Source organism: Homo sapiens, chromosome 12 (assembly GCF_000001405.40).
Source record: "Homo sapiens chromosome 12, GRCh38.p14 Primary Assembly".
In the NCBI taxonomy this organism is placed as follows: Eukaryota; Metazoa; Chordata; class Mammalia; order Primates; family Hominidae; genus Homo; species Homo sapiens.
In genome coordinates, this window is record NC_000012.12 from 3,847,779 (window position 1) to 3,863,054 (window position 15,276).

At 38.5% G+C, this 15,276-nt stretch overlaps 1 protein-coding gene across 6 annotated transcripts in view; it reads right to left on the reverse strand.

Annotated features, from left to right (window-relative positions):
• Positions 1-15,276, reverse strand: part of PARP11 (poly(ADP-ribose) polymerase family member 11) — a 64,539-nt gene that overhangs the window by 38,918 nt on the left and 10,345 nt on the right. The gene's annotated exons all lie outside the window — the stretch shown is intronic.

Here is a 15,276-nt window from a genome sequence, read left to right on the forward strand (position 1 = left end):
TTTCACTACTGTTACTCAACATGATATTGGAAGTCCTGGCAAGAGTTAGGCAAGAAAGAGAAATAAATGGCAACCAAATTGGAGAGAAAGAAGTTAAATTTCCTTTGTTGACAGAAGACATAATCCTATTCTTAAAGAAACCTAAAAACTCCACCAAAAATTATTAGAACTGATAAATTCAGTAAAACTGCAGGTTACAAAATCAACATACAAAAATTAGTAGCATTTATACATGCCAAGAGCAAACAATCTAAAAAAGAAATCAAGAAAGCAATTCAATTTACAATAGCTACAAAGAATATAAAATACATACGAGTCAATTTAACTAAAATGAAAGATCTATACAGGAAAAACTATAAAATGCTTATGAAAGAAATTAAAGACATAAAAATGGAAAGATATTCCATGCTCATGAATTGAAACAATTAATATTGTTAAAATGACAATACTGCCCAAAGCAATTTACAGGTTCAACATAATCCCTATCAAAATACCATGACATTCTTCACAGAAATAAACAAACGCAAAAAATCCTAAAATTTATATAGAACCACAAAAGACCCTGAATAGCCAAAGCAATCTTGAGCAAAAATAAGGCTAGAGGCCTCACATTACCTGACTTCAAAATATACTACAAAGCTATAGTAATCAAATCAGCACGATACTTGCATAAAAAGACACATAGACCAATGGAACAGAATAGAGAACCCAGATATAAATCCACACATTTACAGCTAACTCATTTCAACAAAGTCACCACGAACATAGAATGGGAACAGTCTCTTCAATAAATGGTGCTGGGAAAACTGAATAAAGACTATCTAATTCGCAGAAGAATAAAACTATACCACTATCTCTAACCACATTAAAAAATCAAATCAAAATGAATTAAAGACTTAAATCTAAGATCTGAAACTATGAAACTACTAGAAGAAAACACTGGGGAAATAAGAACATTGGTCTGGGCAAGATTTTTTGTGTGAGACCTCAAAAGCACTGCAACCAAAGCAAAAATGGATCACTGGAATTACATCAAACTAAAAAGAGTCTACACAACAAAGGAAACAATCAACAAAGTGAAGAAACAAGTCACAGAATGGGAGAAAATATGTGCAAACTATCAATGTGACAATGGATTCATAATAATAATATATAAGGAGCTCAAACAATTCAACAGCAAAAGAAAAAAAAAAACACAAATAATCCAATTTAAAAATGGGCAAAAGACCTGAATAGATATTTCTCAAAAGACATACAAATTGCCAACAGGTATATGAGAAAATGCTCAAAATCACTAATTTTCAGAGAAATGCAAACCAAAACCACAATGAGACATCATCTCACCTCAGTTAAAATAGCTTTTATAAAAAGACAAAGAATAACGAATGCTAGCAAGGATGTGGAGAAAATGGAACCCTCGTTCACTGTTGGTGGGAATGTAAATAAGAACAGTCACCATGGAAAATTATGGAGGTACCTCAAAAAAAAATAGAACTACCATATTATCCAGCAACTCCACGACTGAGTATATACCTAAAAGAAAAAAAATCAGTACACTGAAGGGATATCTGCACTCCCATGTTTATTGCAGAATGATACATAATAGCCAAGATAGGGAATCAACCTAAGTATCCATCCATGGATGAATGGATAAAGAAAATGTGGTTTATATACACAATGGATTATCGAGCTGTAAAAAAGAATGGAGTCATGACATTGGCAGCAACATGGATGAAATGAGAATTCGTTATGTCAAGTAAAATAAGCCAAGCACGGAAAGACAAATATCACCTGTTCTCATTCATATGTAGGAGCTAAATAAGTGGAACTCATGAAGAGACAAAGTAGATTGGTGGTTACCAGAGGCTGGGAAGGGCAGGGGGAGAGACTGATTAAAAGAGGTTGATTAATGGGTATAAATATACAGTTAGATATAAGAAATAAGACCTAGAAGTGATAAGACCTAGTGTTCAATAGATCAGTAGGGTGACTGTAGTTTACAATAATCTATTGTACATTTCAAAATAGCTAGAAGGGAATAGTTTGAATGGTTTCTAGCATAAAGAAGACAAGTATTTAAGGTGATAGATATCCTATTACCCTGATTTCATATGTAAATTTTATGTGAATTTATTAAATTATCACATGTCCTGAAAATATGTATATCGATTATGTATCAACTTTTTAAATATGTATTTAATTTTAAATATGTATTTAATTAAATACATATCATTATGCCTATAATATACAGAACTGTTAAATATACAATAGCAGCATCAAGAAGGCAGGTGGGAACAAAGCTATATTGGAGAAGGAAATAACACCATATGGTAACTCAAATCCACAAGAAGAATCACAGTAAATAAGATGGTATATGTAATAAATTAAATATAGATGCTACATACTTGTTCTCCCCTTTTTTCTATCAGCTTCCTTAAAAGACATATAATTATGTAAAGTAATAATAAAAATGTATAGTTGGGTTGGTAACATATATAGACATAATATATATAGCATAATTATATCAGTTCGAACACCCCTAATCCAAAAATCTGAAATCAGAATTCCTCCAAAATCCAAAACTTTTTGAGACTTTACATAAGGCCACAAGTGGAAAATTCTACTCCTGACTTCATGTGATGGGTCACAGTCAAAATGAGAGAGTATAATATACAGTTTATTCAAGGGAAAAAAGACTTTCCCAGGCCCTTTCAGCTGTAATATATATTTTCCTCACATGTCCAGATTCCCCCACGCAAGCATGTCCACAAAGGGTAATAAAATGGTATATGTACAGGCTGGATACGCCAATGGCAGGTTCCTCACAATGCCCCACAAGAGGCCAATATCTATGTGCATTACTGTGTTTTTTTCTTATTCTCTGCTCTGCAGTATAAAGATACTGTTGACAAGGTCAGAAAGGCCTGCAGATATCACTGTGGATAACAGTGATAAGAAAAAAAGGAAAGCATTTATATTTATCTACAAAACAGAAAGTCAAGCTGTTATAGCAACTGGACAGCAATGTTAAGTCTGAAATATCTTACAGAAGAGTATGGTGTTGAAATGACCACTATATATATGATCTGAAGAAAGAGAAGGACCAACTATGAAAGTTCTATGTTGAAAGTAATGAACAGAAGTTAATAAAAATGGAAAAATCCTACATAAAGCTAAAAACAAAATCTTGTTCATGTATTGAAAGGATAGTCCATCAGCATCACAGAGAATCCATGCCACTTAATAGTATGCTGATCATGAAATAATCAAAGATCATGATGAACTGAAAATTGAAAAGAATACTGAATACTCAACAGGCATGTTACAGAAATTTAAGAAAAGATACAGCATTGGGGGTCCATTCCAAGATGGCCAAATAGGAACAGCTCTGGTCCACAGCTCCCAGCGTGACTGACACAGAAGACAGGTGATTTCTGCATTTCCAACTGAGGTACCTGGTTCATGTCATTGGGACTGGTTGGGCAGCGGGTGCAGCCCACAGAGGGCAAGCCGAAGAAGGGCAGGGCATCGCCTCACCCAGGAAGCACAAGGGATTGGGGGATTTCCCTTTCCTAGCCAAGGGAAGCCGTGACAGATTGTACCAGGAAAACTGGGACACTGCTACCCAAATACTGCCCTTTACCAACAGTCTTAGCAAATGGCACACCAGGAGATTATATCCCGCACCTGGCTCAGCGGGTCCCATGCCCACAGAGCCTTGCTCACTGCTAGCGCAGCAGTCCGAGATCAAACTGCAAGGCAGCAGCCTGGCTTGGGGAGGGGTTTCCACCATTGCTGAGGCTTGAGTAGGTAAACAAAGTGGCCAGGAAGCTTGAACTGGGTGGAGCCCACCGCAACTCAATGAGGCCTGCCTACCTCTGTAGACTCCACCTCTGGGGGCAGGGCATAGCTGAACAAAAGGCAGCAGAAACTTCTGCAGACTTAAATGTCCGTGTCTGACAGCTCAGAAGAGAGCAGTGGTTCTCCCAGCACAGTGTTTGAGCTCCAAGAATGGACAGACTGCCTCCTCAAGTGGGTCCCTGACCCCCGTGTAGCTTAACTGGGAGACACCTCCCAGTAGGGGCCGACTGACACCTCATACAGTCGGATGCCCCTCTGAGACGAAGCTTCCTGAGGAAGGATCAGGCAGCAATATTTGCTGTTCTGCAATATTTGCTGTTCTGCAGCCTCCGCTGGGATACCCAGGCAAACAGGTTCTGGAGTGGACCTCCAGCAAACTCCAACAGACGTGCAGCAGAGGAACCTGACTGTTAGAAGGAAAACTAACAAACAGAAAGGAATAGCATCAACACCAACAAAAAGGATATTCACACCAAAACCCCATCTATAGGTCACCGTCATCAAAGACCAAAGGTAGATAAAACCACAAAGATGGGGAAAAACCAGAGCAGAAAAGCTGAAAATTCTAAAAACCAGAGCACCTCTTCTCCTCCAAAGGAACGCAGCTCCTTGCAAGCAACGGAACAAAGCTGGATGGAGAATGACTTTGACGAGTTGACAGAAGTTGGCTTCAGAAGGTTGGTAATAACAAACTTCTCCGAGCTAAAGGAAGATGTTTGAACCCATCGCAAGGAAGCTAAAAACCTTGAAAAAAGATTAGACGAATGGCTAACTAGAACAAACAGTGTAAGAGAAGACCTTAAATGACCTGATGGAGCTGAAAACCATGGCACAAGAACTATGTGACGCATGCACAAGCTTCAGTAGCTGATTCAATCAAGTGGAAGAAAGGGTATCAGTGACTGAAGATCAAATGAATGAAATGAAGCAAGAAGTTTAAAGAAAAAAGAGTAAAAAGAAATGAACAAAGCCTCCAAAAAATTTGGGACTATGTGAAAAGACCAAATCTATGTTTGATTGGTGTACCTGAAAGTGACGGGGCGAATGGAACCAAGCTAGAAACACTCTTCAGGATATTATCCAGGAGAACTTCCCCAACCTAGCAAGGCAGGCCAACATTCAAATTCAGGAAATACAGAGAACACCACAAAGATACTCCTTGAGACGAGCAACCCCAAGATACATAATTGCCAGATTCACCAAGGTTGAAATGAAGGAAAAAAATGTTAAGGGCAGCCAGAGAGAAAGGTCAGGTTACCCACAAAGGGAAGCCCATCAGACTAACAGTGGATCTCTCGGCAGAAACTCTACAAGCCAGAAGAGGGTGGGGGCCAATATTCAGCATTCTTAAAGAAAAGAATTTTCAACCCAGAATTTCATATCCAGCCAAACTAAGCTTCATAAGTGAAGGAGAAATAAAATCCTTTACAGATAAGCAAATGCTGAGAGATTTTTGTCATCACCAGGCCTGCCTTACAAGAGCTCCTGAAGGAAGCACTAAACATGGAAAGGAACAACCCGTACCAGCCACTGCAAAAACATGCCAAACTGTAAAGACCATCGATGCTAGGAAGAAACTGCATCAACTAATGGGCAAAATAACCAACTAACATCATAATGACAGAATCCGATTCACACATAACAATATTAACCTTAAATATAAATGAGCTAAATACCCCAATTAAAAGACACAGACTGGCAAATTGGATAAAGAGTCAAGACCCATCAGTGTGCTGCATTCAGGAGACCCATCTCACGTGCAGAGACACACACAGGCTCCAAATAAAGGGATGGAGGAAGATCTACCAAGCAAATGGAAAGCAAAAAAGAGCAGGGGTTGCAATCCTAGTCTCTGATAAAACAGACTTTAAACCAACAAAGATCAAAAGAGACAAAGATGGCCATTACATAATGGTAAAGGGATCAATTCAACAAGGAGAGCTAACTATCCTAAATATATATGCACCCAATATAGGAGCACCCAGATTCATAAAGCAAGTCCTTAGAGACCTACAAAGAGACTTAGATTCCCACACAATAACAATGGGAGACTTTAACACCCCACTGTCAATATTAGATAGATCAACGAGACAGAAAGTTAACAAGGATATCCAGGACTTGCACTCAGCTCTGCACCAAGCAGACCTAATAGACATCTACAGAACTCTCCACCCTAAATCAACAGAATACACATTCTTCTCAGCATCACATTGTACTTATTCCAAAATTGACCACATAGTTGGAAATAAAGCATTCCTCAGCAAACGTAAAAGAACAGAAATCATAACAAACTGTCTCTCAGACCACAGTGTAATCAAATTAGAACTCAGGATTAAGAAACTCACTCAAAACCACACAACTGCATGGAAACTGAACAATCTGCTCCTAAATGACTACTAGGTAAATAACTAAATGAAGGTAGAAATAAAGATGTTCTTTGAAACCAATGAGAACAAAGATACAACGTACCAGAATCTCTGGGACACATTTAAAGTAGTGTGTAGAGGGAAATTTACAGCACTAAATGCCCACAAGAGAAAGCAGGAAAGATCTAAAATCGACACCCTAACATCACAATTAAAAGAACTACAGAAGCAAGAGCAAACAAATTCAAAAGCTAGCAGAAGGCAAGAAATAACTAAGATCAGAGCAGAACCGAAGGAGATAGAGGCACAAAAAACTCTTCAAAAAAACAAATGACTCCAGGAGCTGGTTTTTGAAAAGATCAACAAAATTGATAGACCGCTAGCAAGACGAACAAAGAAGAAAAGAGAGAAGAATCAAATAGACACAATAAAAAATGATAAAGGGGATATCACCACTGATCCCACAGAAATACAAACTACCATCAGAGAATACTATGAACACCTCTACGCAAATAAACTAGAAAATCTAGAAGAAATAGATAAATTCCTGGACATATACACCCTCCCAAGACTAAACCAGGAAGAGGTTGAATCCCTGAATAGACCAGTAACAGGATCTGAAATTCAGGCAATAATTAATAGCCTACCAACCAAAAAAAGTCCAGGACCAGACAGTCCTGAATTCTACTAGAGGTACAAAGAGGAGCTGGTACCATTCCTTCTGAAACTATTCCAATCAACAGAAAAAAAGGGAATCCCCCCTAACTCATTTTATGAGGCCAGCATCACCCTGATACCAAAGCCTGGCAGAGAAACAACAAAAAAAAAGAGAATTTTAGACCAATATCCCTGATGAACATCAACGCAAAAATCCTCAATAAAATACTGGCAAACCGAATCCAGTAGCACATCAAAAAGCTTATCCACCACCATCAAGTTGGCTTCATCCCTGGGATGCAAGGCTGGTTCAACATATGCAAATCAATAAACGTAATCCATCACATAAACAGAACCAAACACAAAAACCACATGATTATCTCAATAGATGCAGAAAAGGCCTTCAACAAAATTCAACAACGCTTCATGCTAAAAACTCTCAATAAACTAGGTATTGATGGAACATAACTCAAAATAATAAGAGCTATTTATCACAAACCCACAGCCAATATCAAACTGAATGAGCAAAAACTGGAAGCATTCCCTTTGAAAACTGGCACAACACAGGGATGCCCTCTCTCACCACTCCTATTCAACATAGTGTTGAAAGTTCTGGCCAGGGCAATCAGGCAAGAGAAAAAAATAAAGGGTATCCAATTAGGAAAAGAGGAAGTCAAATTGTCCCTGTTTGCAGATGACATGATTGTACATTTAGAAAATCCCATCGTCTCAGCCCAAAATCTCCTTAAGCTGATAAGCAACTTCAGCAAAGTCTCAGGATACAAAATCAATGTGCAAAAATCACAAGCATTCCTACACACCAATAACAGAGAGCCAAATCATGAGTGAACTCCCATTCACAATTGCTACAAAGAGAATAAAATACCTAGGAATCCAACTTACAAGGGATGTGAAGGACCTCTTCAAGGAGAACTACAAAGCACTGCTCAACGAAATAAAAGAGGACACAAACGAATGGAAGAACATTCCATGCTCATGGATAGGAAGAATCAATATCGTGAAAATGGCCATACTGCCCAAGGTAATTTATAGATTCAATGCCATCCCCATCAAGCTACCAATGACATTCTTCACAGAATTGGAAAAAACTACTTTAAAGTTCATATGGAACCAAAAAAGAGCCCACATTGCCAAGACAATCCTAAGCAAAAAGGAACAAAGCTAGAGGCATCATGCTACCTGATTTCAAACTATACTAAAAGGCTACAGTAACCAAAACAGCATGGTACTGGTACCAAAACAGAGATATAGACCAATGGAACGGAACAGAACAGAGGCCTCAGAAATAACACCACACATCTACAACCACCTGATCTTTGACAAACCTGACAAAAACAAGAAATGGGGAAAGGATTCCCTATTTAATAAATGGTGCTGGGAAAACTGGCTAGAAAGCTGAAACTGGATCCCTTCCTTACACCTTATATAAAAATTAATTTTCAAGATGGATTCAAGACTTAAATGTTAGACCTAAAACCATAAAAACTCTAGAAGAAAACCTAGGTAATACCATTCAGGACATAGGCATGGGCAAGGACTTCATGACTAAAACACCAAAAGCAGTGGCAACAAAAGCCAAAATAGACAAATGGGATCTAATTAAAGAGTTTCTGCACAGCACAAGAAACTACCATCAGAGTGAACAGGCAACCTACAGAATGGGAAAAAATTTTTGCAATCTACCCATCTGACAAAGGGTGAATATCCAGAATCTACAAAGAACTCAAACAAATTTACAAGAAAAAAATCAAACAACCCCATCCAAAAGTGGGCAAAGGATATGAATAGACACTTTTCAAAAGGAGACATTTATGCAGCCAATAGACACATGAAAAAATGCTCATCATCACTGGTCATCAGAGAAATCCAAAACAAAACCACAATGAGATACCATCTCACACCAGTTAGAATGGCAATCATTAAAAAGTCAGGAAACAACAGGTGCTGGAGAGGATGTGGAGAAACAGGAACACTTTTACACTATTGGTGGGAGTGTAAACTAGTTCAACCATTGTGGAAGATGGAAGACACTGTGGTGATTCCTCAAGGATCTAGAACTAGAAATACTATTTGACCCAGTGATTTCATTACTGGGTATATACCCAAAGGATTATAAATCATGCTACTATAAAGACACATGCACACATACGTTTACTGTGGCACTATTCACAATAGCAAAGACTTGGAACCAACCCAAATGTCCATCAATGATAGACTGGATTAAGAAAATGTGGCACACATACACCACGGAATACTATGCAGCCATAAAAAAGGATGAGTTCAAGTCCTTTGCAGGGATATGGATGAAGCTGGAAACCATCATTCTGAGCAAACTATTGCAAGGACAGAAAACCAAACACCGCACGTTCTCACTCATAAGTGGGATTGAACAATGAAAACACCTGGACACAGGGCAGGGAACATCACACACCAGGGCCTGTCGGGGGGTGGGGGGCTGGGGGAAGGATAGCATTAGGAGAAATACCTAATGTAAATGACGAGTTAATGGGGGCAGCAAACCAACATGGCACATGTATACATATGAAACAAACCTGTACGTTGTGCACATGTACCCTGGAACTTAAAGTATAATAATAATAATAAAAAAAAGATACAGCATTAAATTTTTAAAGACATGTAGGGATAAAACACGGTGATCATGAAGCAACAGAGAAATTCATTGATGAGTTTGCCAAGGTCATTGCTGATAAACATCTGACACTAGAACAAGTCTATAATGCCAATGAAACATCACTGTTTTGACATTATTATCCTAGAAAGACACCAATTACAGCTGCTGAGACAGCCTTTACAGGAATTAAGGATGCCAAAGACAGAATAACTGTGCTGGGATGTGCTAATACACATATAAGTGTAAACTTGCTTTGACAGGGAAAACCTCACGTCCTCACTGTATTCAAGGAGTAAATTTCTTACCAGTCCATTATTATGCTAAAAAAAAAAAAGGAAAAGAAAAGGCATGTATCACCAGAAACCTCTTTTCTGACTAGTTTCACAAACATTTTGTACTAGCGGCTCATGCTTACTGCAGTGAAGCTAGACTGTAAGATTTTGTTATTCCTTGACAACTGTTCTGCTCATCCTCCAGCTGAAATTCCCATAAAAAATAATGTTTATAACATGTACTTTCCCCGAAATGTGACTTCATTAATTAAGGCATGTGACCAGGATATCCTTAGATCAATAAAGGGTAAATATAAAAATATATTCTTGAATAGCATGCTAGCAACAGTGAACAGAGATAAGGGTGTAGAAAGTTTTCAAAAGTAGTTTAGCATGGAGGATGCCACAAATGCAGTTGCCAACACTCGGAAAACAATGACTGAAGACATAGTCGTGCCTGACACAACCTGGCCTAAGACTATGTTCAGTGTTGATGATGAACAATTGGTGATTTCGAAGGACTCTGTATATCATCCAAGGGAAAACAAAAAAGATATATAACCTCCTGACATATGCAAAAAATGTACCTCCAGAGTCTATCAGTAAGCTGGAAGAAGTGAATATCAAAGATGTTTCTAATATTGATAATGAGGCTCCAGTTGTTCATTCAGTATCAATGGTAAAATAATTAAAATGGTTCTGAATCAAGGTGATTTGATAACAGTGATAAAGATAACATTAACCATGCAGAGAAAGTGGCTGTAGACAACATGATGAAAACATGTGATGAGATTACTAAAGGTCTGGAGCAGTGTGCATTCATACCAAACAAGAATTCATGTCAATTTATAACATCAAAGAAAGATTTCTAAGACAAAAACCATTGTTAATAAGGTAGATGACTCTAAAGGAAACATTTTTAAAAGCCATCCAGCAAAATGCTTCCTCGCCCCTATAGGAGCCACTACTTGGTCCCTCAATCGCTTCTGATGTTTTACCTAAAGTCAAAAAATACAGTGTATAGGAGCATTTTAATCAAAACACAGCATCATAGGTGGAGACAAAGCTTGCCACTGTTTGCTGTTGCTGTTGTTTAACATCTGATAAAGGTATTTTGGTGATGCTATTGCACTGCTTAGTTATCCTGAACACATTATTTTTTCACTGTATTAAATGTATGTCATACCTTTTACTGTTAAGAATTTATGTATGAATATTCAGGCTGGGTGCGGTGGCTCACGCCTGTAATCCCAGCACCCTGGGAGGCCCAGGTGTGTGGATCACTTGAGGTCAGGAGTTCAAGACCAGCCTGGCCAACATGGTGAAACTCCATCTCTATTTAAAAAAAAAAATACAAAAATTAGCCAGGTGTGGTGGTAGGCGCCTGTAATCCCAGTTACTTGGGAGGCTGAGGCAGGAGGATCATTTGAACCCAGGAGGTGGGGGGTCACAGTGAGCCGAGATCATGTCATTGCACTCGAGCCTGGGCGACAGAGCAAGACTCCATCTCAAAAAAAAAAAAAAGAAAAATATTATATAAAATTACCTTTGAACTGTGTGTAAAAGGCATATATGAAACAAATAAATTCATGTTTAGACTTGGGTACTATCTCCAAGATACATTATTATATAGATGTGAATATTCCAACATTTGAAAATAATTAAATAGAAAACAAAAAGTAAAATGGCAGATGTAGGCCGGTGCAGTGGCTCACGTCTGTAATCCTAGCACTTTGCGAGGCCGAGGCGAGTGGATCACAAGGTCAGGAGATCGAGACCAACTTGACCAACACGGTGAAACCCTGTCTCTACTAAAATACAAAAAATTAGCCAGGCGTGGTGGCACACGCCTGTAGTCCCAGCTACTTGGGAGGCTGAGGCAGGGGAATCACTTGAACCAGGAGGCAGAGGTTGCAGTGAGCTGAGATTGCACCACTGCCCTCCAGCCTGGGTGACAGAGTGAGACTCTGCTAAAAAAAAAAAAAAAAAAGGCAGATGTAAATAATAATATAACATGCAATTAAATAATAGTATTAAATGTGAGTAAACTAATCCAATCAAAACGTAGATTTTTCAGATTAGATTTTTTTGAAATCCAGCTATATGCTGTCCACAGAAATACACTTTAGATTCAAAGATACAAATAGGTGGAAAGTAGAAGGATAAATAAAAAATACCATGCAAACAACAGTCATAAAAAAGCTGGAGTGGCTATACTAATGCCAGGCAAAATAGACTTCAAACCAAAAAGTGTTACTATAAAAAGTAGGGTCATTTTATCATGATAAAAGGGTTACTCCAACATAAAGATGTAACAGTTATAAAGATAACATGCATTTGCAAGTGATGAAATTGGATATTTGGCTGAGGAAACCTCTAAACAATTTGCTGAAGGAGTGGCCTGGGTCCTCCTGACTGCTTAAATAGAACGCAAGAAGAGAGAATGACTTAAAGACAGAATTATTAAGCAAAAAAGAACCAGTACTTAAAGATGCAGAAAATTCTCAACCTACCCATATTGAAAAGAATGAGAAAGTCTGTTCAGAGGACAACACTAAGGTTGTGGTCAAATGATCATTTGATAAGATTAGTATGGATGTGGACCGCCCCAGCAGGACAACTGCCAATTTGAAATGAAAAAATAGTAGATGGGAAGAAATGAAGGAGGGTTGGTAGACTTCTTGGATTTTTCAGGATGGGACCATAGAGCAATTCAGCTGCAAATGTGTGCTCTTCTTTAAGACAAGGAAGGACCCTAAAAGCAATTCAGAGATCATCCGGGATGCTTCCTTGGTTCAACAAAAGAAGGGACCACTGCCTTGCTTTCAATAGGCCAGATGGCTCATGAGGGCTGGACCTCTCAAAGCCCAGGGATTGTGACCAACCCCATCAGAGGGTCCAGAAGGCAGCACTTCCACTTCTCTGGAAGGCAGAGCATCAAGCCAATCATTCATTTTGTAGCCTTAAGATTTCATGGAACTTGCTCGGGACCTGTCACCCCTTTCTTCCTTCCTTTTTCTCCCTTTCAGAATGGAATGTCTACCCTATGACTAGCACACCACTATATTTTTTAACTTTTTAATTTTTTTAGAGACAGGGTCTTGCTCTGTTGTCTTGCACTTTAGTCTTGTCCAGGCTAAAGTGCAGTGACACATCATAGCTCACTGCAACCTCGAACTCCTAGTATCAAGTGATCCTTGTGCTTCAGCTTCCTGAGGAGCTGGGACTACAAGCACATGACACCACGTCTGGCCAATTAATTTTTCAATTTTTTCAGAGACAGTCTTGCCATGTTGCTCAGGCTGGTCTTCAACTCCTGGCCTCAAGTGATCCTCCCACCTCAGCCTGCCAGGTAGCTGGGATTACAGGCACAAGCCACCAAACTCAGACCACCATTGCATTTTGGAAGCACATATTTGGTTTCACAGGGTCACAGCTGGAGGAGAATTTGCCTCAGGATGAATCATACCTTGGGCTCAACTGCATCTGATTTAGATAATATTTAGATGAGATGTTGGACTTTAAAGTTGATGCTGGTATCAGTTAAGACTCTGGGGTGATTGGGATAAAATGAATGTAATTTGCATGCAACGAAGACACAAATTTTTCGTGGAGGGAAGGGCCAGGGCCAGAATGTTATAGACTAAACGTTTGTGTCCTTGCCAAATTATTATGTTGAAATTCTAACTCCTAATGTGATATGAAAATGGGGCCTTTGGGAGGTGATTAGATCATGAAGGCAAAGTCCTCATAAATGGCATTAAGGCTTTTCTTAATATTTGCCAATCTGATAGATGGGCAGTATTGTGGTTCTATTTTCCATTTCCCTAAAGAATAATGATGTTGAACATCTTTTCATGTTGTTATTTTCCATCTGCTTATCTTCTTTGGTGCAGTGTCTATTCATATCTTTAGCTCACTTTAAAAAATTGAGTTCCTTCTCTTGAGATTTCAGAGTTCTTAATATATTCTATGTACAAGTCATTTATCAGATATATGCTTTTTAAATACTTTCTCCCGTCTGTGGCTTATCTTTTCATTCTCCTAGAAGCATGTTTTCAACAGCAGAAGTTTTTAATTTTGATAAAGTCTGTTTTATCACTTTTTTTTTTCATCGATCATAGTCCTGGCATTGTAGCTAAAAAGAATCTTTGTGGCCAGGCGTGGTGGCTCACGCCTGTAATCCCAGTACTTTGGGAGGCCGAGGCGGGCGGATCACGAGGTCAGGAGATTGAGACCATCCTGGCTAACACGGTGAAACCCCGTCTCTACCAAAAATACAAAAAAATTAGCCAGGCGTGGTGGAGGGTGCCTATAGTCCCAGCTACTCGGGAGGCTGAGACAGGAGAATGGCGTGAACCCAGGAGGCAGAGCTTGCAGTAGGATGAGATAGCACCACTGCACTCCAACCTGGTTGATGGAGCGAGACTCCGTACCTAACCAATGCTGGCAGAAACCACACCAAAAAAACAAGCAGATGGAAAATACATGAAAAGATGTTCAACATGATTAGTCATTAGAGAAATACAAATTTTAAGATTTGAAAAAGATTTTTCTCAGCCAGGCATAGTGGCTCATCCCTGTAATCACAGCACTTTGGGAGGCTGCACCCAGAAGATTGAGACCAGGAGTTTTAGACTAGATCACTTGAAGTCAGTAGTTTGAGACTAGCCTGGGGAACATAGCAAAACCCCATCTCTACAAAAAATTTAAAAATTAGCTGGGCATGGTAGCATGCACCTGTAGTCCCAGCTACTTGGGAGACAGGCAAGAGGATTGCTTGAGCCCAGGAGTTCAATGTTACAATGAGCTATGATCACACCACTGCACTACAGCCTAGGCAACCAAGCATGACTCTGTCTCAAAAAAATAAATATATGTATTTTTTTTTCTATTTTTTTCACCTGGAAATTTGTAGTCTTAGATTCTGCATTTAGGTCTATGATCCATTTTTAGTAAATTTTATAGTTTATAAATTTTTCTATACTATATATTTTATTAGTATATTTTATATACTATATATATAATTTTTATAGTATAGCAAAGTATGGAGTGACGTTCATTTTTCTGCATATGGGTATCCAATTGTTTCAGCATCATTAGTTAAAACAACTGTCCTTTTCCCACTGAATCGTACCTTTTAAAAAATCATTTGTTTGTGGCCCTATTTTTTATTCTATTCCATTCCATTAATTAACTTCCCTAACTTGATGCCAATACTACACTGTTTTGATTATTGTTGCTTCACATTGAATCATTAAATCAGGTAGCATTTGCTCTCCAAACTTGTTCTTCTTTTTCAGAATTGCTTTGGCTATTCTAGTTCCTTTGATTTCTTTTCCTGGGATTGCATTGAATTATCAATCTGTCTGGAGAAAATTGGCATCTTAACAATATTGAGTATTCCAACCCATGAATAAATTATATCTTTCGACTTATTTAGGTCTTAATTTTTTCAAGAATGTTT